The sequence below is a fragment of the Homo sapiens genome, chromosome 21, assembly GCF_000001405.40.
Source record: "Homo sapiens chromosome 21, GRCh38.p14 Primary Assembly".
Taxonomy (NCBI): Eukaryota; Metazoa; Chordata; class Mammalia; order Primates; family Hominidae; genus Homo; species Homo sapiens.
In genome coordinates this window covers 42,096,184-42,119,931 of record NC_000021.9, presented here as the reverse complement: position 1 = coordinate 42,119,931, position 23,748 = coordinate 42,096,184, and the positions used below count along the sequence as shown (strand labels likewise).

General features: G+C 53.1%; 1 protein-coding gene and 1 long non-coding RNA gene across 7 annotated transcripts in view, besides 5 other annotated features; one reads left to right on the top strand and one right to left on the bottom strand.

Moving 5' to 3' along the window:
- Positions 1 to 23,748, bottom strand: part of UMODL1 (uromodulin like 1) — an 80,120-nt gene that overhangs the window by 23,065 nt on the left and 33,307 nt on the right. For 4 of the 6 annotated variants that reach the window (NM_001199527.3, NM_173568.4, XM_017028507.1 and 1 more), the window contains 8 exons: positions 20,752 to 21,006; positions 17,654 to 17,766; positions 15,845 to 16,064; positions 10,233 to 10,370; positions 8,222 to 9,052; positions 6,102 to 6,359; positions 3,947 to 4,059; positions 608 to 821 (listed from right to left, as the gene is read on the bottom strand). In NM_001199527.3, coding sequence (NP_001186456.2) covers positions 608 to 821; positions 3,947 to 4,059; positions 6,102 to 6,359; positions 8,222 to 9,052; positions 10,233 to 10,370; positions 15,845 to 16,064; positions 17,654 to 17,766; positions 20,752 to 21,006 — 2,142 coding nt within the window. The remainder of the gene's footprint in view (positions 1 to 607; positions 822 to 3,946; positions 4,060 to 6,101; positions 6,360 to 8,221; positions 9,053 to 10,232; positions 10,371 to 15,844; positions 16,065 to 17,653; positions 17,767 to 20,751; positions 21,007 to 23,748) is intronic. The other 2 variants (NM_001199528.4, NM_001004416.3) reach the window with 1 other exon arrangement.
- On the top strand, positions 11,398 to 17,798 carry UMODL1-AS1 (UMODL1 antisense RNA 1). Its single transcript, NR_027243.1, has 2 exons — positions 11,398 to 11,636; positions 15,897 to 17,798. It is a non-coding gene; the product is annotated as a UMODL1 antisense RNA 1 (long non-coding RNA).
- Positions 11,859 to 12,153: a silencer, noted in NCBI's record as "tiled region #15350; HepG2 Repressive DNase unmatched - State 12:CtcfO, and K562 Repressive non-DNase unmatched - State 20:ReprD". NCBI's record gives its function as "represses a minimal TATA promoter and a strong SV40 promoter by Sharpr-MPRA in HepG2 and K562 cells {active_cell/tissue: HepG2 | K562}" and the evidence as "EXISTENCE:reporter gene assay evidence [ECO:0000049][PMID:27701403]".
- Positions 11,859 to 12,249: a biological region, named in NCBI's record as "Sharpr-MPRA regulatory region 15350".
- Positions 12,130 to 12,249: an enhancer, noted in NCBI's record as "active region_18503". NCBI's record gives its function as "activates an Ori minimal core promoter by ATAC-STARR-seq in GM12878 lymphoblastoid cells {active_cell/tissue: GM12878}" and the evidence as "EXISTENCE:reporter gene assay evidence [ECO:0000049][PMID:35858748]".
- Positions 15,417 to 15,974: an enhancer, noted in NCBI's record as "H3K4me1 hESC enhancer chr21:43524068-43524625 (GRCh37/hg19 assembly coordinates)". NCBI's record gives its function as "activates a minimal SCP1, AML or CMV promoter by ChIP-STARR-seq in naive H9 embryonic stem cells {active_cell/tissue: H9 hESC(naive)}" and the evidence as "EXISTENCE:reporter gene assay evidence [ECO:0000049][PMID:30033119]".
- Positions 15,975 to 16,533: an enhancer, noted in NCBI's record as "H3K4me1 hESC enhancer chr21:43523509-43524067 (GRCh37/hg19 assembly coordinates)". NCBI's record gives its function as "activates a minimal SCP1, AML or CMV promoter by ChIP-STARR-seq in naive H9 embryonic stem cells {active_cell/tissue: H9 hESC(naive)}" and the evidence as "EXISTENCE:reporter gene assay evidence [ECO:0000049][PMID:30033119]".

Below are 23,748 nucleotides of genomic sequence, written 5' to 3'. Positions count from 1 at the left end.
ATGGTGCCTTTATTTTGATTTATCTCTGCATGCAGTCAGCATCTCATCGTTTTCCTCTAAAAATCGTATTTTCTTTAGGAAGTCCTTCTTATTCTAAAAATCAAAAAATTAATATGAATCTCCAATTTTTAAAAAGTCTTTTGTTTCTGATACATGTAACTATAAGCCATTCATCATTTATGTTCAAGTATGATAGGAGAAAAGAATCTGAATTGTCTTTTTCTCCCTGCTTTTCTCGTTAATTATCTTTACTGGGATCTCCTTGGGAACTATGCTTGGGGGAGAGTCTGGCTGCAGAGAGGGATGCATCTGCCCTCAGCCCATGGAAACAAGCAGCGAGGGGGCAGTCGACCCGGAAAGAAAGCAGCACCCCTGGGGATCTGCAGGTTCACCCAAAGATGTTTTCAACACTTCAACCTTTACACAATTATAATCACAATAAGAGGGACAGACAGGGTCCTATCTATTTCACATCTTCATCTAATTCTGGGGGAAGAAGGACCACATGGGCACAACACGACATCTTTCAAAAGCGAAGGGTGGTGGCTGCCCTCTGGCTGCCTCTGGTTCCAGAACACGGGAGAGGCTCCATCCCAGCCTCTCGTACCCTGTATGAAGGTGTCGCCTCTGATCACCTCCAGCAGAGGCACGGTCTGGAAGGCGGTGAGAAATGCAGCTGACACCTCCTGGACATCCACATCTGCGATTATCAGCAAGTGAAACTCCACCACGATGCTGCCGTTGGTGACGCTGACGACTTCCATCCTGACCCCACCAGCGTCCATGTGCTGACACATGGTGGCTGGCAGGGAGCCCCGCACCTGCGGGGAAAGAGGCCATGTGAGGAGGTCCCCACGCTGAGAGGAAACAGATGCCCGTCTCAAGGCGGTTCCTCCTGCCAGTCTGCCCAGCAGCAGGGCTGGCCCGTGGCACAAAGTAAAAGCCACAGGTTGGTTCTGGGCCCCTTTCCTGTCTGCTGTGTTTTCAAGCCCAGCACAAACGCCTGGGAGTGTCTGTGATATGAGAAGAGCCCTTGTTTCCCCCCCCAAACCAGTAAACGGCTTCAGAAAGATGCCTGTGGGGCGAGGGTGGGACTTGGGGGCACAGGCAGAGACCCTACCTCATGGGGCTTAAAATTTGCTGGGGGCTCACAAGGGCTTCTAGAACCTAATACTCCTGGTTTGCAGCCACCGAGGGCAGGGGGCTGAGTGCAGGGTCGTGGGGAGGGAGACCACTTCCCGCTGCCTTCTCTGGAACAGCTCTTTTGCTCCTGGCACTGCAGAACATGTCCCCTTTCATTCTTCCTCCCTACCTCTCCCCAGACTGCTTCCTGTGAGCATTTCCAACTTCCCCATTAGGACAGGGGGTTCCTGCCCCCGAACGCCCTGCTTTCTACTCTGTCTCTTTGGACACAGTCACACACCACACGCTATATGATTGATTCCATGCTAACCCATCATGGTCAAAGCACTCAGAAAGGCAAACAATCTTATAATGAGCTTCAATCATCCTCAGTGCAAACCTCCTATGGGTACTTCCAGGGTTTGTCCTCACAGGTGCGATGGCTCAAGGCCTGGGTCATGGACTCACTTCCCGGCTTCTGGGCCACCAAGGTGAACAGATCCATTGTCCCTCTCAGAGCCTGTGGACCCCAGGGAGACCACAGCTGCCCTTGGTTGGCTCAGTAGATGACTGTTGTCGTGACCATCTTCACAATCAGTTCTTCCCTCTCTCTTTCTCTCAGAGGAATCTGGCATAGTCTTGGATTAATGTGACTTTTAGCTGCATTTCAAACCAACCTCTAAGCAAACTTCCAGGCCCCTTGCTAGGAAGTGGTGAAGAGCCAGGGACCAAGCCATGCAGCCAACACCTCCTGACATCCACGTCTGCGGTTATCAGCAAGTGAAACCCCCGAAATTTCTCTTAACATCCTACTTCTGTGATTAAGTTGTATAATTATTTGCTGTCCTGAAATTCTAGGCAAACAGAAAAACAACACCCCAAAAATGGGCAAAGGAAGAAATGGTTCAAAGAGGAAAGATTAATCAAGAAACTCGGGAAGGAAACGGAGCTGCCTCTTTTGACCACTCGAGCCAGGTGGAAGGATTCAGTGTTTGTTGTTTAATATTCTAACTACTATTTAACCTTATCAATGAAATCACATTATTAATCAAACCGTCAACAACTGTTGAATGCACAAACCAGGAGCAGGGAATGAGCTAGGCCGTTCCCAAAGGCTGTCGAATCTTCTCATCTGTGGGGGAAGCGCTGGGGTTTGCAGCCCTGCTACGGTATTACCACGACAGGCCACTAGGTGGCAATGTCAAACCCTCTCTGTGCTGAGCTCAGACTCAGGAAATCTACAATGTGAGATTCCGTGCAAACAAAATCACTAGATTATGACAAGGGCACTCCCTATACCTCAAAAAGTCCACAAGAAGGCATGTCACTAAATGGTAACAGATAGCATCCTGGAGAATGCTGAGGGGATGGCAGGGAGGAATGCAGGAAAGAGCAGGAAAAGAACTTTCTCTGAGGCAGGGGCATTGCAGCACTATTTATAACAGACAGAAGGCGGGAGCCGCCCAGTGCGCTCGGTGAATGAATGGATGAGACTGCATGGGTTATGCCCCAGCCATAACAAGGAATCCAGTGCTGACACATGCTGCCACGTGGATGAAACCAGAAAACCTCATTTTAACTGAAAGAAGCCAGACACAAAAAGTCACATATTGTATGATTCTGTTTCTGTGAAATGTCCACAATGGGCAAATCTATAGAGACAAAAAGCAGATAAGTGATTACCAGGAGCTGGAGGAAGTGGCGAGAGGGAGTGACTTTTTTTTTTCTGTTTTTGAGATGGGGTCTTGCTCTGTCACCTAGGCTGGAGTGCAGTGGCAAGATCTCAGCTCACTGCAACCTCTGCCTCCTGGTTTCAAGCGATTCTCCTGCCTCAGCCTCCTGAGTACCTCGGATTACAGGCACCCGCCACCACATCCGGCTAATTTTTGTATTTTTAGTAGAGATGGGGTTTCGCCATGTTGGCCAGGCTAGTCTAGAACTCCTGACCTCAGGCGATCCACCCACCTCAGCCTCCCAAAGTGCTAGGATTATAGACATGAGCCACCATGCCCAGCTGCGAGTGACTTCTAATGGGTATAAGGTTTCTTTTTGGGTGATGAAAATGTTCTGGAATTAGTAGTGATGGTTGCACAATTTTGCAAAATAGTCTAAACCACTGAATTGTACAGTTTAAAAGTAGATTTTATGGTCTGTGAAATAAATCTCATTTTTTACAGGTTTAAAAAAAAAAAACCGTGGAGGGACTTTCTGCTTCATAGGTTCCACAACTGAAAAACAGGTTTCACTGGACAGAAAGTGAAGTGTGAAGTAAGGATGCAGCAGAGGAAGAGTTGTGCCTCCTGTCTGCTAACCGTGTCTTCGCCGGGGCAGATCCAGGGACACTCAGGGAGTCAGGCCAGAGCTTAACGTCCTGGCTTCCTTCAGAAATGAGGAGCTCATAGGACCTATAGGTCAAATTCCTAGTTGGATGAGACTAGAATTCTTTTTTTTTTTTTCCCACAGGGTTTCACTCTGTTGTCCAGGCTAGAGTGCAGTGGCACGATCTCGGCTTACTGCAACCTCTGCCTCCTGGGTTCAAGAGATTCTCCTGCCTTAGCCTGCTGAGTAGCTGAGGTCACAAACATGCGCCACCATGACAGGCTCATTTTTTGTATTTTTTTTTTTTTTTTTTTTTTTGGTGGAGATGGGGTTTTGCCATGTTGCCCAGGCTGGTCTTGAACTCCTGAGCTCAGGCAATCTGCCCGCCTCTGCCTCCCAAAGTGCTAGGATTACAGGGGTGAGCCACCGTGCCTAACCTAGAATTCTATCAGCCTTCCACCCTTTCCCTCCTGAAAGGAATTAAGGGCTGATATCACCAACTCACCATCCTGAAGAATAGTTCTAGGAAATCTCGATACTCCTGGCTGCTTGCGTTGCGAAAGGATTCTGAGTACCTGACATTTTTGATTCTGACCTTTCCAATGAGCTTCCGGGCTGCTGCAGGATGGAGGATAAGCACATTTGGAATTGGTGCTGTATTAGATAACAGACTAACATTTCAATATTAATAAATGTATTTTCATGTCCAGGAAGAGCATCACACCAAAGCCAACCCGTGTTCTAGAAAGAAGGAATAGTGCCAGGGCTCAGGGACACAGCCCATCAGATTCCAGAGGACACAGAACACAGCCTGAACACAGTGGGAGAACCTTCCAGAGGCCACAGAGCCAGCTCGCCCCTGCAACTGTCTCCCCACCACACATAGCCTTCCTTCCTTGCTGCCGTTCCCCCATGCTGGGGTTCAGACAATTTCCCAGCAAGCTGGCATGACTTGAAGCATGTGGAGGCACCATTAAATAACTTTGCCAGGGCTACGGGTGCAAACTGGGCTGTCCCAGGTATAACAGGACTTAGGGCCCTGGCCAGGCCTCTGCTCAGAGTCCACGTGGCCACAGGGTGCCCAGGGGTCTTGTTTGGAGCCAGTCCTTCTTCCTCCCCCAGCAGCCCCACCTCCCCTGGTCTATGGGCAGTCCCTGTTTTGGCATCATCTGTTCCATCTGAATCTTTTCCCTCCGCAGAGGGCTTCTAGGAGTATGTGGCACATAAATGTGGTCCAGGAATGTCGCCATCCCATCCTGGCCCTGGCATGGCAGCCACCCCAGTGTTCAGTCAGTCCCTCACCAGATATTTGCAAAGCGCCTGCCATGCGCCAGAGGCATTCTAGACAGTGAAGGAGAAAGACACAGCTCTCCCCTCAGGGGGCTTAGAGTCCATCTCCCCAGAGCTTCTCACTAAGTTTAAGACAAACCACAGAGCCATTCTGCTATGCATTCCTGGGCGAACCCCAAACTCTACGTCCTTGAGATCATTGTTGTTGCTGCCCCTGAGGGCTTCTGGTTCAGTCTCCATGGCTGGCATGAGCAACCCAGTCTGAAAGCCATCAGTAGCAGGACAGGTGCACAGGTGAGAGCAGGTATAAGTGCACCCACAGGTTTGGGGTCCCCCGTGCAGCCTGTCCCGTCCAGAGCAGCTGAGACCTTCAGAGGCCCAACTCTGGCTCTCAGACCCCAGAGCCACCCTGTCTGACTGTCCAGCCAGCACTGATCTCCCTCCTCTCCAGCTGCTCGTGAACGTGCACAATTCACGTCATGCACTCCATCTGTTCTCTAATTTCTCAGGCCATGGCTGATTAGTACTTTAAAGCACATACATAGTTCTCAACTTCTATTATTGCATCCCAATAGACCATCTTATGCCTCTCTCAAGGGGTGTGCGCCCCACTGTGCAGACCACTGCTATCAATGCTGCCCACAGTGTGAAACCATCCTACACCTCCCTCAAGGGGTGTGCGCCCCACCGTGCAGACCACTGCTATCAACGCTTGGGAAGCTGCCCATGGCGTGAAAACCAGCTTGCAACATCAGACACGCTCTTGACTACCCAGGTAAGGTACACATAAGAAAATACCCAGGTAGCGATGCTAATGAAAAGAAAAGAGGAATTTCATCCAAATATGTGTAATATTGTCACTGTCCAGCTGGAACGCAGTGGAGTCTATGTTTGATTCATTATTGCTCAATTCTTTACTTTGTGGCCCCAGGCTCTGGCAGGCTGCTCACAGATCATCCATGTGACTGCCGATTGTCTGTTGATGTCCTTCCTGAAAGCCAAGTCCTCTGTAGGACTGTTGAGATCAGAGGGAGTGGATGCAGCTCAACAGATGAGCACCGCATGCATTTTCCATGCTGCCTCCCCCGGAGGACATGGGTGAGCCGCACCCGCAGCCTTCCAGGCGCAGTCTATGGCACTCTGCTGCCGCCTCCATACCCGTGGGCTGCCTAATGCCTTTTCCTGAATAAGCCACCTCCTGTCTGGCCGTCATTGCACGCCTGCTGAAGCCAGCCGGATGTCCCTAAGCTGAGAAGAACAATGACACCTAGCAGCCCATAAACAAATCCAGCTCTCTTAAGCCTTAACCCACAGAAAGTCTTTTTCATACTTTTTGTTCCTCTCTTTAAAAACAAATGGAAGCCCATTACCTGTCCTCACTTTCAGATGAGCTCTGGCACCTTCTTTCCCACATGCTTTGGCCATGATCTCAACCAGGTGCAAGACCCCAGGCTCCAGCCCCGACAGTGTCACACTCGTGTTCCAGGTCTCTAGGACCACAGCAGGGCTCCACATGGAAGTCAGAGTGAGCTGGAAGGTGGAGTCCATAGCAAGATCCGCCTCCCATGCCAGGTGGAAGCCGGTGCTGGTCACATTGGAGACCATGATCCTCCCAATGGAGACAGGAACTGGGAAGTGGAATATAAACACCAAAATTACAATCAAGCCATTTCTAGGAGAAAAGAAGCCTCGCCCAATGCCAAAAATCAAATTCATCACCATGGGGACATGAGCGATTTGCAGGTGATGGCCGCCGAGGTGATGGGTGAGTAGGATCCTGTACAAACCTCCCAAGCCCGGGCTTCCTGGGCCTGCATCCTTGCCCCTCCTTGGGATGATAGCAAATGGCTTCTGATTTTGTTTTGTTTCAGCAGATGGTTCATATACATCCCTGAGGCCCCTGGACTCCCCAAAATGAAGGCCTCTTGAGCAGGTTCTTGGTGGCGCCTCAGATGGACTGTCTACTCTTGACCCCTGGGTGGATTTACCCAGGGTCCAACTAGGAGTTGACATTGGTGACAATGCTGGCTAGAGAGCCATTCTTACAGGAAGACCCCAGGTCCCTCGGTAATACTGACTTACATGGGCTAAGAGTTTAGTCTTAGAGCCTGTGCTGCTTAGCAGAGGAAATGCATTGAGGAAGATCACATTTGACAGCTCATTTGGATGAAATCCAGAGGCAGGCTAGCTCTGCAAGCTCACAGGGCTGTCACGGCTGAGATCCAACTCCTGCACAGATTCCTGCTGTGAATCTCCTGAGATGTCACCTGGGGGTTTGGTGATGGCTAAATCTTCTACAAGTAACATGGAATTGCTGGGGGTTACGGTATGACTAGAGGTGCATAACAGCTGGGGGGTGCAGGAACTCTGGATGTGTAGAGCAGATGGGGGTACAGAACACTTAGGGGGTAAAAAAACAACTGGGGGTACGGAACAGCTGACAATCCAGAGCATCTGCAGAGGTTCAATATCTGGGGTGAAGAACAGCTGGGGAACTACAGAACTGTGGGTGCAGAACAGCTGAGGGGGCACAAAACAGCTGGGGAGGTGCAGAACACCTATGGAGGTGCAGAACAGTGGGGAGATACAGAAGAGCTGGGGAGATACAGAAGAGCTGGGAGGTACAAAACAGCTGGGGGTACAGAACAGCTGGGGGTGCAGAACAGCTGGGGAGATACAGAATCTCTGGGGCATATAGAACAGCTGGACAGATACAGAGCAGCTGGGGAGATACAGAGCAGCTGGGCAGATACAGAACAGCTGGGGATGCAGAACAGCTGGGGGTGCAGAAGAACTGGGGAGATGCAGAACAACTGGGGGTGCAGAACAGCTGGGGAAATGCAGAATCTCTGGGGCATATAGAACAGCTAGGCAGATACAGAGCAGCTGGGGAGATACAGAACAGCTGGGGAGGTGCAGAACAGCTGGGAGTACAGAAGAGCCGGGGGTGCAGAAAAGCTGGGGTGCAGCACACCTTGGTGTGCAGAGCAGCTGCAGGGCTGCAGAATGCTTGGCAGGGTGACGGAACAGCTGAGGGGTGCAGAACAGCTATGGGAGTGCAGCATTACTGGGAGGGTGCAGAGTTGTTGTGGGGGTGTCATCACACTGATCGGGGCCGGGACACAGTTCTGCTAGGAGGCAGGACAGCGGGGGTGGGCAACACCTCAGGGGATGGCTCCAGCACCTAACGCGACAAGTAAGGCCCAAAGCCTGCTCCTGAAGGCAGACCTCCGCCCCAGCTGCTGCAGACAGGGAGCCCTAAGAGATGGGGAAGAGAGATCTGGGACAGGCAAGGGGACCAAGCTGTCTTCCTAACTCAACTAGAAACCAGCTGCTGGGTGCCTCCGTTTCCACACGCACAAGATGAGGATGCCGCCTGAGCATTGCTAGCAGCCTGCGACTCCACGGCTGCAGGAGCTTTGCCCCAGAGGCTCACACAGGCTATGGGTCCTATTAGTCCTAGTCCCCATGCACCATTCGAGGAACTCACCACAGGCGGGGGTCTTCAGAGCTGTGAGGGTGGAGGTCAATGGCAGGTCTACAGAACCGGAGGGTCCACTGTCCTCATTTCGCAGCCACGTGGGATTCAGAAGTGTTTCCCGGGTGGAACGGGTGGCATGCCACAGGAAGTGGCCGGTGGGGTCCTCAGTAGGGGAAGGCCAGGAGGGTGGCTCCATGATGGAGTTTCCCTGTAGCTGTCCAGGGAGGGCCAGTGGGCCATCTGTGGCCCCAGGAGGGAAGCTGTGGGTTGACCCAGTAGCCTTCGGGGAGGAGGTGGTGCCTATCACCCCGATAGTGTTCCTATGGCTGGGGCTCGCCTGGCTGGTGCTCCCCTGGCTGGGGCTCTCCTGGCTGGGGCTCCCCTGGCTGGGGCTCCCCTGGCTGGAGTTCGCGTGGCTGGTGCTCCGCTGGCTGGGGTTCACCTGGCTGGGGCTCCCCTGGCTGGTGCTCCTCTGGCTGGGGCTCGCCTGGCTGGTACTCTCCTGTCTGAGGCTCCCCTGGCTGGGGCTCCCCTGGCTGGGGTTCACCTGGCTGGGGCTCCCCTGGTCCATCCCCAGACCCGGGGCAGTGCTGGGCACCTCCTGCTCCACGCCTTTTCCTGTGTTGTTCCTGTCATACCCGACCACATTGCTGCCCCCTCTTCTGGGTGAGGGCTCTGGGGTCCAGGCCTGGCCTGCTGCCGGGGTGCCCTGAGGGTACCCAGGACTGGGTGACAAGGTGAAGTTCTCTAGGCCGAGGGCTGCTGTTCCCGTGCCAAGACCTGGGACCGTTACCCCTGTTGCCGCAGACAGTCCACCGCCCATGGGGCTCACCAGGTCACCTGCCAAGACACATCCACTGTCAGAGCCTGCTGGATCCCACCCACGAGTAAGAGCCCTCCCAGGAGGGCAGCATGGCCGTCCAGCAGGACTGCTCTGCATCCCGGAGTGGACCTGGCCAGGGACGCAGGCGGGCGCCAGCGTTCAGGAGTGTTTCCTGGGCCCATGTTTGCAGCCTCCCCGGGGCTCTCTGAAGGCAAATCACGCCTCTCCACTGGATAAATGAGGAAACTGAAGTTGAGGGTGAGGGATCCACCCGGGGGGCTACAAAACCCGGGCTTGAATGCAGGGCTTGGTTCTCATAGGCCTCAGATTAATCCATCAGGACTCTGGGAAAATGGGACAATTTCCCCCAGATTTGTGCTCAATGTGGGACTTGGTGCTGGATGCTGTCATCGACTTGCAGGACATTAGGCGAATGAGAAAAACAGAAGACAAGGTGTGGGATGTTAGGAAGCAGGACAGCACACGCAGTGTCTAAGGAATATTCTCCCCAGGGAACTGGTCTCGGCTGCTCCTTCCAGCTAGAAAGCCCTCAGCAGGGGCTGGCAAGCCAGTGGCTGGGCGCCTCTGCCACGCCTGTGTCCGGGCCGACATTGCTAATCAGTCACTGCATTTTAGGTCCCTACGTGGCCTCCTCCTGCTGCTCAATTCAGCATCCCAGGTATCCCCGACCCACTCATCAGAACTGGTCCACAGAAAAGACTGGGGGCCGATACAGCAGGACTAGAGCTCAGCGGCCCCCATCGGGCCTCTCTGCAGCTTCTCTGGGCTTCCACACTGTCTCGGGCTCCAGGCCACACCCTCTCGGGCTCCAGGCCACTGGGGAAGGAATCCCTCGACCCCGGGCTGCATCCTGACTTCTGTGGGCCCAAGGAACTTGGCCTTCATGGACCCCTGCACCCCTCCACTTAACAATCTATCAAAAATTACATTTTATAATGGCATTTAGATAGAGATGAGTGTAATCCAAGCTAGATTCATTGTTTTATGTATATTTACTATCCTTCTATTAATTTCTTTCTTCTGATTTTAAAATAAATTGAAATGAAAACATTTCTGTAGGCCCCTAACATTACCATAGGTCCTCAGCCCTGTGCCTATGGAGAATTGGGCTTTGCCCCACCCCCAGATTCTCGGGCAGGGGGTCTTCCCAGAGTCGGCAGGGGGGTCGACACGTACCCTCACAGGCCCGGCCTGCGCGGGAGGGGGTGGCGTCCCTGGTGGTACGGCACTGGCAGGTGTAGGAGCCCTCCAGGTTGATGCACCAGGCAGCCGGTGAGCAGTCGTGTTCCGCGCTGTCCACACACTCGTCCCAGTCTGCCAGGGGGAGACACAATCAAAACCCATGAGAAAACAGCCAAAGAGTGATCAGAAGACAGACCCATGCTGGAAGGAGTCCTTCCTAGCCGTCTTTGCAGTGAACGGCCGGGAGCAGGGGCATTTTGGGGCATCCGTCCAACACTCTCATGACAACCTTACGGCCTGCCTGTGCCCACCTTCACATTGGTTGGCTTATTTGGGGGCAAAGATTAGGAAATGTTCATTCCTTAAATATTAGCACCCATGGGTGTGCATGTAGCCCTCTCTTCTTTATTCTGTTTCCACACCCAAAACTTGAAATGTTTTCTCCTCTCTCTTTGATGTGCCAACATTCTCCAATACTTAGTGTCTCAACCAAGAAATAGGAAAGTAACTGAGCCAGGGGTGGGGACACAGCTGAGTATAACGTGAACTTTCCGCATGGGGGGTGGGGGTCCAGCGGAGTATAACACCAGCTTTCCACGCCGGGGGTGGGGGTCCAGCGGAGTATAACACCAGCTTTCCACGCCGGGGGTGGGGGCCAGTGGAGTATAACATGAGCTTTCCACACCGGGGGTGGGGGTCCAGCTGAGCATAACACCAGCTTTACATGCCAGGAGTGGGGGTCAGCCTGAGTATAACATGGACTTCTCTCGTGGGGGGGGTGGGGGTCAGCCTGAGTACAACATGAACTTCCCACGCCGGGGGTGGGGTCCAGCGGAGTACAACATGAACTTCCCGCGCCATATTCTAGAGCACCCGGGTGTCTCCACAGGTATGTCCCTCCTCCTGTGCCCAAAGACTTGTGATGTCATGTCACCGGGGGGCCCGCCTGAGGGGAATGAAGGTGAGGACAAGGACAATGTAGCTCCCATGGGGTGGCTGAGCCGAGGTCGTCAGGGCCAGGCCCTGCTGGAGGTGACAGTGCCTTCTGCGCGTGCTTCTGTAGAGCTGCGGGTGGAGGTGCTCGGGAACGAACCCACACCCGGCATGCCAGAGAAGTTCCAATTCAGGTGGAATTTAAGCCACGATGCAGGACCAGTTCAGTTCTGGGCAAAGAAAACCCTGCTGCTGAGTGCTCTGAGGCTCGTTTTGTGGGTTTTTTTCTGTTGTGCTTCCTGCGGTCTCCACAGAAGCAGCTTCCCTGGAGAACAGCAAGCTCGTCAGCTGCCACAACAGCTATGCCACCACCCTAGCATGGCCTGGGGGCTGCCTTGCCATCAGAACACTGCTGGTGCCAACCCACACCTCTTCCTGGGGTGCTACTCAACCTCCAGCCTACAGGTAACTCTCCTGGGGGTGCTCCGGGTTGGGGTTGGAGCCTAGGCTGGCTGGGCTGCAGTCCACGGAGGACAGCAGAGGCACCAGGCAAGACGCTGGCTCAAACCACCAAGCACCTGATGTCTATTTTGGGGCGTGGTGATTCACCTAATCTTCACTCCTCCGTCCCCCCAGACAGCTCCCAAGCGAGCTCAGAGGAAGGCGCTGACAGCTGTATTTAGTCTTGCATTAAGCCTTGAGGCTTGCCGGCCCTCCAGTTCAGAGGAAGAGGCAGGTGTGGGAGCAGGAAGAGCTGCCAGTGAGCCTCTGCACCCTCCCGGGCTGGCCAGGCGAGGGCGCAGAGCCAGCGAGAGCCCAGGGCAGGACGCTGCACACTGCTCCCACTGGCCCCGCAGCTGGGACAAGGGCTGAGCCCTCTCCTGGAGCAATGGGGGCAGCTGCTTCAGAGACTCCCAGCCCAGGTGCCCCTCCTGAGCTGGCCCCACCCAGAACAACAAGCTGGAGAGGGTCCAGGAGCAGGTACAGACCCCAGATCTCCTGGGCCACCCTGTCCCAGCAAGGTGCAGGCTCCTCAGTTGGACCATGAGCTGTCTTTCAGGGCCCAGGGCGTCCTCCAGAAGTGATGCCCCTCGGACTCTCCTGGGGGCGTGTGTCAGATTCACACTGGGAGAAAGAGGGCACAGAGCACCTCATCCTAATGCCACCGCAAATGGACGCTGGACAAATAGCGGTACCCGTGAACCTAAGGAAAGGAAGCAGCCTGCAGTAGGTTAGCCTGGCCAGCAGGTGAGGGGGATGGTGACAGCCCTAGGCCAGGATCCTCACTCACGGCCCTTCTCTCACTCTGCAGAGGGGATGGAAAGGGCTCGCGCAGTGGCGAGGCGGGTGGGAGCAGGCAGCAAACTGGAAGCTTTGGGGAGCTCAGCTCCACCTACTCTGGCCCCAGGAAAAGCGGCGTTGATTCCAGAGCCCCAGAAGACCCACAAGGCCTCTTACGCAGAAGGATGCCGGTGGGAGTCCTGCTCCTCTGGCTAAGGTCGGTGCAGAGGGTTCACAGCGGTGCCTCATAGAAGCCCAGTGATGACCCTCACTCTAGAACAAATGCACACTGTATGAGAATCTCTCCTGAGAGCAGATGTTGGGAAAGAGAAGGAATAGGGGCCGTGCTGTTAGGAGCAAGAGATTGAATGGAAATGATGTGAGGGGTTCAAAAAGGAGCCCCGTGAGGCGGAAGGACCAGTGGGAACCCAGGGGTTGCTAGGAGACCTTCCTAGATGAGCTCTCATCCAAGATATGAAAGTTAATCCTGGAAGAGTTAGCCCTGAACGCTGGAGGGGCCATCAGAAATGCACTGTCGCCATGCACAGGCACTGGGCTAAACCCACACAGGCATTGTGCCTTAATTTACTCCATCGCCATAGGAGGTGGGATGTTGCTGTAATCTCATTCCACAGATGAGTATACTGAGGCCCAGGGAGAGGAAGTCATTTGTGCAGCATCCCACAGTGAGTGAGTGTCAGAGCTGGGATTCCAACCCGTTCCGCCTCACTCTAACCTCTTCCTATGGGGCAAAGTGAGCAGGAGGTTTGGCCGCCGCTGTGAGGGTGCAACTCATAGGCGCGGGGGGCGGCTCAGCCTCCAGGCCTCCCAGCACATGGTACGTACCTCCTGGGGAAAGACCGAACACATGGCCACCTACACAGCCCACCGTGACTGGCGCAGGAAACCCCAGGCCCCGGGATGGACGGCCTAAGGGTAAAGATAAGGTCACGACAACCTGACCCCTCCACGGGCGAACAGCGCCTCATCTATCGGGGTTGGGACATGTGGACGCACCGGCAGGGAGTGCTCCTGAATGACTGAGGAATGCTCTAGTTGTGCCAACAACATTATTTCTAGGTGGACCACAGCGCAAATACCTTTTCTTCTTCAGAGGAGCTCTTTTTGTGTTTTCGTTTCTTGTTTTTTTTGCCGAGTAATATCAAATGTCTTCTTCTACAGATCCTCGCCGTGAAGGTGGGGCTCTCAGCGGGGGTGGATGTCCCCCTGTAAGCTGGGCTCAGGCCTCGTGCTGCCTCCCCAGGCAGGGGCGGTGCCCCATGGTTGCTCCCCCGACTCTGGCGTCCGAAGACACCAGTAGTCATGGAGTCAAAAGAGTGCAGAGGCAGGGCCGCCTCCCCGGCCATGCACGGCCTGAGGCGTCACCATCACTGGCCACACAGCTGACCCCCCAGCTCAGGAGACCTGCCCGCACCAGCACCTCAGCTCTGAAATGTGGAGGAAGCAGGCCACAGCCTGCCCGGGACCCTGCCGGGCAAGAGCCTGCAGAAGGAGCTTAATAACTTCTGCAGGACCACTGAACAGCGTGGGGAGTGGGGTGCTGCGAATGCTTACAATGGATTCATCCAGTCCTAGAGGTGCAAGACACGGGTCTCCTGTGGCTGCCATCACAAACACACCAGCTGGGGGGCCTGAAACAGCACAGATGTATTCCCGCCGTTCCGGAGGCGAAGTCCAAACTCCAGGTGTCAGCAGGGCCGCCCTCCCTCTGGGGCTCTAGGAAAGGGGCTTTCCCAGGCCTCTTCCAGTGTCTTATCTTGTGGCTCCAGGAGTCCTTTGGCTTGTGGCTGCATCACTCCAATCTTGGCCTCTGTGTCTGTGTCTCCTCCTCTTGTCTCGTATAAGAACACTTGTCACTGAACTTCAGGCCAACCCAAATCCAACGGCAGGAGGACCTCATCTTGACATCCTTAACTTAATCGTGTCTGCAAACACCCTTATTCTAAATAAGGTCACATTCTGAAGTTCCAGGTGAACATATCTTTTTGGAGGGGGCCACCATTCTACCCACGACATCCCTGCTGCCGAGGTTCTCATTTGGCAGGGATCTGGAATCGCCTGAGCCCTAGTCCCAGAGGATGGGAGGAGGGAGGCAGGGAGGTGTGGAGGGCGGGCTGGGTGGCATCCACCTGAAGGCTGGATCCGCCTGAAGGTTGGATCACGGGGTCACACACTGAGGACCCTGCTGGGGGCATACCCTGTGGACCCCAACCTCAGGCCCTACCCTGCAGCCCAGCTAGGTGGGATCTTACCAGGTACAGGGGCCACTGTAGTATCCCCATCCTTAGGGAGTGCCAAGTGAACAGAGTAACCCCAGGCCGAGGTTTCCAGGCATGACTTCAAAGAGTAGATCCCCCCACACCCAACCCAGTTCTTCCCGGCACCTCCTGGTGGGGGAAGGTTGGGACAGGAAGCCAGCACGTGGCTGAGCTCCAAGACCCAGCACCCCGGGAGACGACCAGAGAGGTGCCCACTCCACAGATTGAGCCCAAAACTGGAGCTTGTGGATCTAGAGACTGTGTGTGCCCTCACAGCCAGGAGAGAACTCCGTGCCTGCTGCAGGACAGCAAGAACCTGGTCTCCGTGCCTTTCTGTCTCTCTCTTTATCTCTCTGTCTCTTTGTGTCTGTCCTGTGTCCATGACCTCCTGCTTCAAGGCAACACCAAGTAAAATGAAATAACACACAGCGTAATGAAATAGACCCACAGAGGCCGGGCGCGGTGGCTCACGCCTGTAATCCCAGCACCTTGGGAGGCTGAGGCAGGTGGATCACCTGAGGTCAGGAGTTCGAGACCAGCCTGACCAACACGGTGAAACCCTGTCTCTACTTAAAATACAAAAATTAGCCAGGCGTGGTGGCAGGCGCCTATAATCCCAGCTACTGGAGAAGCTGAGGCAGGAGAATCACTTTAACCTAGGAGGCGGAGGTTGCAGTGAGCCAAGATCGTGCCATTGCACTCCAGCCTGGGCAACAAGAGCGAAACTCTGTCTTAAAAAAAAAAAGAAAAGAAAAGAAAAAGAAAAAAAAGAAAAGAAAAAAAGAAAAGAAATAGACCCACAGGTGGGCAGTTGTCCCGCTGCCCAGAAGTGCTGGGGGGCCCTGACGACAGACACAGTGAACTCCTGTCCCTTTCCCCTGAGGGTACCTTCCAGCCCCATTTCACTCAGTGTCCTGGGCTGACCAATGAGACACAGGTGAGCTAGTTATTCAGGGCTACTGCCCTGGCCCCTGGTTCCGGTGGAGGAAGATAGAATAAGGATTTGCATTTCTTTACCCTTTGAAATAAAGGAAAGACTGACTCAAATAAAGTCACCAAGAGGATTTCTGAGCTGGAGGACACCAGGCAGCAGGGCGGGTGGCTGGGCCATACCTTGCACGCGTGTCCCCTGCCGGTCAATCTGGAACACTGTGCTTGCCAACAGGGGCTGGAGTATGGGGGCCAGCGTGGAGATGCCCATGGGAAACCCGGGGTCCTGCACGGTGAGCTTGAGCCTCACGACCACACTTCCCGCCTGGAGAGACACGATCTGCATTCTCAGCTTCCCACTTCGGTACAAGTCAGACACCACTGGTGGGAAGGAGCTCTCGACCTAGCCAAGAAGAGGCAACAGCAGACATCCATCAACGTCTTCACGACCATTAAGCAGGGTTCCAGGTGTGACCGATGGATGGTGCTTGGAGCCATTTCTCTCCTCTACAATCAAGAGGAGGCACCTGACGACCGACCTCTCAGAGCACGCAGAGAAGTCCGTTCACAGCACCTTAGCTGGGCTTTCCCTGGGACGGCCGGGCCTGGCCTGGTGTGTGCTGGGGACTCACAGTGACCACTGCAATCAAGCTCCCAGTTGTGGAGCATCAGATGGACAATCCCCTCTGAGTGTCCTGAAAACTGGTGCGAAGGTCATTTGTGTGAGCGTGTGAGAAAGACTGATTGATTGATAGATGGAGAGGCCCCACCAAGGAACAATGCCTATGGCTATTTGGAGCTGTCCCCCCTCTTACTAGGCTGTATCCCACACAAAACACGCACACAGAGCCAGGTGCTTAGGGCTACCCATGCCCAAGCAAGGGAGATACCAGCCTGGTTCCCTGCCTTTGTGCCAACCCATACTTGCACACACAAGTGAGTTAACATTTCAAAAGGGAGGGAATTCTCTGAAAACATTGAAAACCAGATTCCTCCTCCAGGCAAATGTTGGGAAGCAACACTCTGTGGGTCTCTGGCATTTCTACACATCTTGCAAGTAGACGCACTAACTGCCCTTTTGTTCCAGAATATCTTTCCAAGGATGTTTGCATAGTGAACAGCCTTGGGAGGGAGAGATATTGGCTCCCTCCAGAGCAAAGGGCAGGTTTGTTACTGTCTGATGTAACAGATAATGTCTCCTTCTGGAGCCAGTGCTTGCACCCATTATAAAAGATTCAGGTTCCCTAGAGTTGGGGTTCCTCAGCTCAGGTGCAGACCCACTTTGTGTGCTTCATGCCCCTGGTCCCCTCTGCATCACCTCTGCGGGACTCGGGTGCAGGAAGGGGAACCGGCACAGCAGCACACGCATGCTGCCTGCTGTGCTGGAGTAATACAGTCTTCCGTCTCTGGCCCAGGAGTCTCGTGTCTTCTGCCAGCATCCATGAAACTGTGGCAGACTCACTTGTTAGTTTGCAGGGAGGGTAAAACCTCAGACTTTATGTGATTCTTGGCAGTTTAGGAAGTCACTTCTCCCTCCAATGCACCATCTGTGGATAGATGGTGCTTCCCACTGGCTTGCTTCTCCCTGGCTGTCTGCTGATGTCTCCCTTTAGTCACGAGGGAGGAATGGATGCCATGATTGTTGGTAAATGCTTCACTAATGAAGCTACCCCATAGCTGGAAGCCAGGGCCCTCAGACAGAAGGTTCCACAGAAAATCCAACAGTAGGAGTAAGTGGTGTACACCATTTGAATAAAGGCACATATCTTAAAGATGGATTGGCCCAGTATCTGGATTAAGTACCCCATAAAAGCAGGGGGAAAGCTTTTGACTAATCACTGTGCGATTTGGGTTTGGCCTCCCCTGAAGCTGCAGTAACATGTATTTTTGCCACAATCCCAGAGGAAGAGCTGGGCAGGAATTAACGGCTTGTGTTTGATGTCCTCACTCAGAACACCCAAGAAAAGATTTCTGTCTGCATTGTGGCTTTACCTCGTGAAGCAGTTGTCTAGAAAAGTCCTGGTACTCCACACTGCTGCGGTTGAGTAACTTCTCCGTCAGGTTGTGGTTTACAATCTTTATTGTGACTTCAAATACCTGGGCATCTGAGACAGACAGTGAAACAAATTAGCCTGTGGTCAAAAGTCACACACTTGTCTGTTAATGTTTTCCATGAAGCCTACTCTTTGGCGGGATAATTTTTTTTAATAGATTGAGGCATGAATCTTAGATTGAGGTATCCTAATTGGGGGAAATAAATGTAAGAAACGAGAGAATAAACAAACACTTTTATGTCCAGGGCAGAGACATCCCAGGAAGGAGGTACAAACGTCACACACAGCCCATACCCACGGGAACTGGGATTCAACCAGAGCATGGAGGGTCCTTTCCCGTGGGGTGGCTGCTGCCTTCCTTTGCCCTATTCACAACCACAGGGCCCAGGAGGTACTCACACGACGAGGCCCTTACTCAGGCCCCCAACATCAGGGTGACCAATGGGTTCCAACCTGCCCGGGAGGTTCCAGAATTTAGCTCTGAAAGTCCAACTTCTCAAGAACGTACTCTGCCAGTCAAAATGGTAGGGTTGCTTACTTACAAGGGAGGTTGCGTTATTTTGGGGCATAAGCAAAGATGGAAAAAAGCTTCAAGATGGGACACGGGAATATTCATCTTTCATTACTGAAAGGAAACCCAGCATGCACAACCCAAGCGTCGGCGGGCACAGGAGCAGGTCGGCGGCAATTCTGCATGTTTCTCTAGTTATCTAACAGCCACCTGCAGCTGTGCCCCACCCTGGCTCTCTCCCAGCTGGCAAGCTACGGGCCATCAGAGTGTGTCACCTATGCACGCCACACTTAAGGCCACAGAAATGCCACCAATGTTATATATTGTATATTTCCCAGTTGGGGCCCCTGTGAATCTCCCATCTTAGCAAGAGGGAGGAGCACTCCATGTGGCCTCCGATTCTCAGGCCCCGACGTATCGCAGAGCCCCGTGGACTGGCGGCCTCCTCCAGGGCCCTGGGAATTGGACTCCCTGGAGGCTCTGGGCATCCGCTGCCACCGTAACACCTGCCCTGCTGCCTCCCGGTGTCACAGGCTCATGACAAGGTGGAATTAGACAAGGCCTTTAAAGCAAATTGGGCTCCTTAAAAAAGGGCTCTACAAAAAAAGGGCATTTTTATAATCTGGAAAAGGAAAGAAAATCAAGGCTGGGAAGTGGAATAGGTTGGTAATTCTAGAGTCTTCTAGAGTCTTCCAAATTATCTGTGCCTGACATTGGAATGCAGGTATTTTTTTTCCTGAAGGCACGGGGTTGGTGGGTAGGGAGGGTGAGGGCATGGGGTTGGTGGGTGGGGAGGGTGAGGAGGGCACGGGGTTGGTGGGGTGGGGAGGGTGAGGAGGGCACGGGGTTGGTGGGGTGGGGAGGGTGAGGAGGGCACGGGGTTGCTGGGGTGGGGAGGGTGAGGAGGGCACAGGGTTGGTGGGGTGGGGAGGGTGAGGAGGGCATGGGGTTGCTGGGGTGGGGAGGGTGAGGAGGGCACGGGGTTGCTGGGGTGGGGAGGGAGCTGCAAGTTCCTATTGCATTTCCCAATAGAGATCAATTTTGTACCCTGGAGGATGGTTCTGTAATGGAACTGCCTCTCAGGCCTCAGTTTCCAAAAAGGGAAAAGAGTGTCCCTCCCCTCAGTCCTGGTGTACTTTGGAAATGAAATGAGAAGATGAGGTGGAGTCAGCTTGGAATGGGATGCCGCGTGCACAGTGGAGGGCTTGTGTCGAGGGTGGCCGGGGTGCTTGAGGGCTTTCTGGATGCCCGTGCTGGCTGCTATGAGGACTTAGCTTGAGGTCCGCCCCAAATCAGTTTGAAAAGGGTGTAGGGCCGAGCCACAGAAGGTCGCTCATTCCGCCATTCATTCTCCACCACCACTCACTGTCACTAGCATTAACCCCTGTGAGTGAGAAAGGCCCCAGTATGGTCTTCATGCAGCAACTTGTATGCTCTGTACGCTCTGCTGAGACATGAAGCCCAAAGCCCACAGCCCAGGGCTCCCACTGGCTCTACGTCAGGGACACACATCGGAACCCAGAACCAGAATGGAGCCCCAGCAACCCCACATTCACACCCCACAGCCACAGATGCCAGCCTGGGGGAGAACTTCCACCAGCCAGGCCTCATCTGACCAAGTCTAGGCACCACGGGCACCAGGCAAGTGGGGAGCAAGACACGGGCAGAGCCAAGTGGGCTGCCCGGGACAGACCCAGATGGGCCACACCGGCTGCCTTCCTGACACAAGCCCCAAGTTCATGTGTGTGTCGTGTGTGTTTTGGAGACAAAAGTTGCCTCCTGAGATCACTTGAGCCCAGGAGTTTGACACCAGCCTGAGCAACATGGCAAGACTCCATCCTTATGAAAAATAAAAAATTTAGCCTGGTGTGGTGGTGTGTGCCTGTGGTCCCAGCTACTAGGGAGGCTGAGGTGGCAGGATCACTTGAGTCCAGGGGGTCGAGGCCGCAGCGAGCTGTGATCATACCACTACACTCCAGCCTGGGTGACAGAGCGAGACCCTGTCTCAAAAAGAAAAAACGTTTTGTCCCAGCACCAATGTGGTGGGCATGGCATTCGCTTTACATGCATCATGAGTGAAGCAAGGCGTGAAAACGTCAGCGATGCTCCCCTCTCGGGGAGGGAACTTAGACGGCCTCAGTGCTGCTGGGTAAGCGGGCAGGGTCCGGATCTGCCTGCCAGGAGCTGCCGCCTTCTGCTTTATTATTATTATTTTGTTCCTTTGCTTCACCCTAGCTGATGCCTTATTGGTGCTTCTGAGTCCACATGTTGTCCCCTCACACGGCAGAACGAACCCCTAACAGGACGACATGTAGGGAAGCGAGGGAGCCAGTGAAGGCACCAGCGGGCCGGTGCAATGCCGGGCAGGCAGTGGGATGACTGGGAGGGGAGGGAGGAAGTGCAGGGCGGTCAGTGACTTCTGGTGCCCTGGTTATAGGAAGAAGAACGCGACATGCTAGGGCCACAGACCTGGGATAGAAAGACAAGCTCGCAAGCTAACGTGGGTCTCTGACTGGGGGCCTTACTGGTTTTGATGGTCAGCGTGGTGGAGACGTCGGCCCCGCACCCCTGGTAGCTGGTCTTCACCCTGTACAGCACTCCAGCCTCCAGCCCAGCCACTGCCAGTGCCTGGCTCTGTGTCCTGGCGCTCCTGAGCAACTCCATACCCCGGTAAACCCGGACATGGAAAGTGTGGTTCTGTGTAGAATTTAAACGCCAGGATACTTGAAAACTGTCACTGGTGACGTTGAGGACCACGTAGTCACTGACTGGAGGACAATCTACGAAAGCACAGACAGAGAAGATGAGCAAAGGGTCAGTGAGGGCGGCTTTCTCTTCTGAAGCAGGTAACAGAGCCTCATCTCAACTTGGTTCTCACTGATTTATTGATCAAGTTGACCCATCCAGAACAGCACTGGCTATTTTTTGTTTTTTGTTTTGAGACAGAGTCTCACTCTGTCACCCAGGCTGGAGTGCAGTGGTGCGATCTCGGCTCACTGCAACCTCTGCCTCCCGGGTTCAAGCAATTCTCTGCCTCAGCCTCCCGAGTAGCTGGGATTACAGGCACTCGCCACCACGCCCGGCTAATTTTTTGCATTTTTAGTAGAGACGGGGTTTCACCATGTTGGCCAGGATGGTCTTGAACTCCTGACCTCGTGATCCACCCACCTCAGCCTCCCAAAGTGCTGGGATTACAGGTGTGCGCCACCGCACCTGACCCACTCACTGTTTTTTTTTCCAATAATAAATGCAACCCATTCATTCAAAACAGAGGTATCAATCTTCTCTCTCTCTAGGCTTCTGAGTAATTTTGGAAGGTAGCTCAGGATTGCATTAGGTGATGGGGATATTTGAGATGAAATGGAGAAGCAAGAGGTCTGAAGTTGAAATCCCAGCCTCTCTATCACTGAGCCAAGTTAGAGGGTGGGAGTCATCCAAGTGTGCCTCTGTCTACACAGTGAACAGCATTGAGTCGTGGGGCTCTCTGGGATCCGGAATCGGTGGTTACTAGAAAGTCAGAACAGTCTCTCTGGGGACCCGTATACAGTCATCGTACAGAAAACATTTGTAGCAATGGCCACGACAGTGTAAGGTTTCTGTGCCACATCTACAAATACTGCCTTGCCAGCCTCTCCTGAGGCCCTGGGCTGCTCTGATTCATGACAAGCACTTGATCATTTGCACGAGAACTTCTGCACTGGGCTGACTCATCACTCCATAAACAATGGCCTCATCAGGAAGCCGGACTCAGAAATCAGGCTGAGCTTCCTTTATTGCCCTTTTTATGCTTTCCTATTGAAATCCATGCCTCAGAGAGCAAAGCTCTGATGTACCAACCTATATATATTCTAGTGCTCAAATAGCATCGAAGCTCTTTTTTGGTTAAAAACATTCTGGCTGTACAGCAAGTGTCTGGGCAGTAAGAATTATATAAAAAGTAGACGGCCCCCAGTCTACGCACCAAAATTTTCACATCAGAATTTAAGCTCTATAAAAATAAGCAACAAAGAACTTTTAAAAATATATTTTGCAAAACCATGGTAAAGAAAATAATAATTTTATAATGTGTGGCTTCCCAAAGCCTTTTCTGTAAGGACTGGTAGGATATATGCTTTCTAGTATCATGAAAAGAATTCTGCTTTTAGACATATGTGCCTGCTTTCTCTCAATAACAAAAACAAAAACAAAAAAAACCCAACACTGTCCAACTCATTTCCCTTTGCGCCTTGGCTGCTGAGAGGCTCAGAATCCAATTTAGTGCCCAGTCACCACCACGCGACATAGCCCTGCTGTCTCCTCCTTCCAACCTGAGACTGAGCTGCCTCCTTTGAATCTTGGTCCCTGTGTAGGTGAGCTCCCTCACTGAGAACCTGCCACTCCACCTCCCAGCAGATGAGCATCTGTTACTGGAATCTGGACAGGCTTCACTCAGACAGGATCAGTGACATCCATCCAAATTCTGATGTGTCCTAATAACACTTCTAGGATGTGGGGTAGAATGTAGTTTTTTAAAAGACACATCTATACTTTTTACAGGATTGTCCAGTGATTTTCGGCATACTGGTCAGGGAAACAGACATGGATTCATTCTTTATGATATTTTCTTTAGTGGCAAGAAAAGCAGAAATGCTTCAACTGAGGGTGGCCCAAAGCTTGGGACCTGAGATTGTGGGTGGCACCCCCGTCTCCAGGGTCACCAGAACCCTGGAATCAAAAAGACCCCCCACTCACTGCCTGGCCTTCTAACAACCACCCGGCTTCTTAAAGTCTGTTCCTTGGGAACATATGTCTCACTGAAAAAGGAAGGGCGGGCTACAATTTCTTTTCCAAAAAGTCTGCTAAAAGCACTGACTGTTCTATTTTTGTACAGTCAGGACACAGCCCCAAGCATTTTTTTAATCCACGTTGGTGGAGGATGGTGTGACAGCAAAACGCCCTGCAAACAGGAAAGTGGGGCGGCCACGAGCAGGCGCAGCAGCTATAACAGCAGCCCCCCAGCCCACACCCAGGGCTCCAACCTTGCCTCCTTGTTGCCATTCAGATATCAAACTTGACGCAGAGCGAGAGAGCACATGGGTGGGACAACAGATGGCCCACCCAGATTACAGGCCATTTAAAAACGCATTCTATAAGGAGTGCTTCTGAACGGAGCAGAGTTAAAATTAAAAGGGCACCCGTACTTATTTGAAAAGAACGCAGAGGAATGGTGTTTGGAAAGAAGTCTCACAGGGTACGGGGCTGGCAATGCATGCTTTACCTCTTTTAATAAGTATATTTACTCTTTAAATTAAGATGCCAGGGGGTTTTTGGATCACTGGATGGGGGACCTGCAAACCTGGCATTTCAAATGCTGTGAAGCCCTCCGAGGCATCTGCAGAAGCTGCCGTCAGTGACTTTTGCAACTAAGAGAGATTGCAAGCATTTGGGGTAAAAGAATCTCATCTAATCCAAAGAAATGCATTATCCCTGAGGACAATGTTCCCATCCAATATCTGTGTGGCCCTTTCTCCAGTGTGTTACCT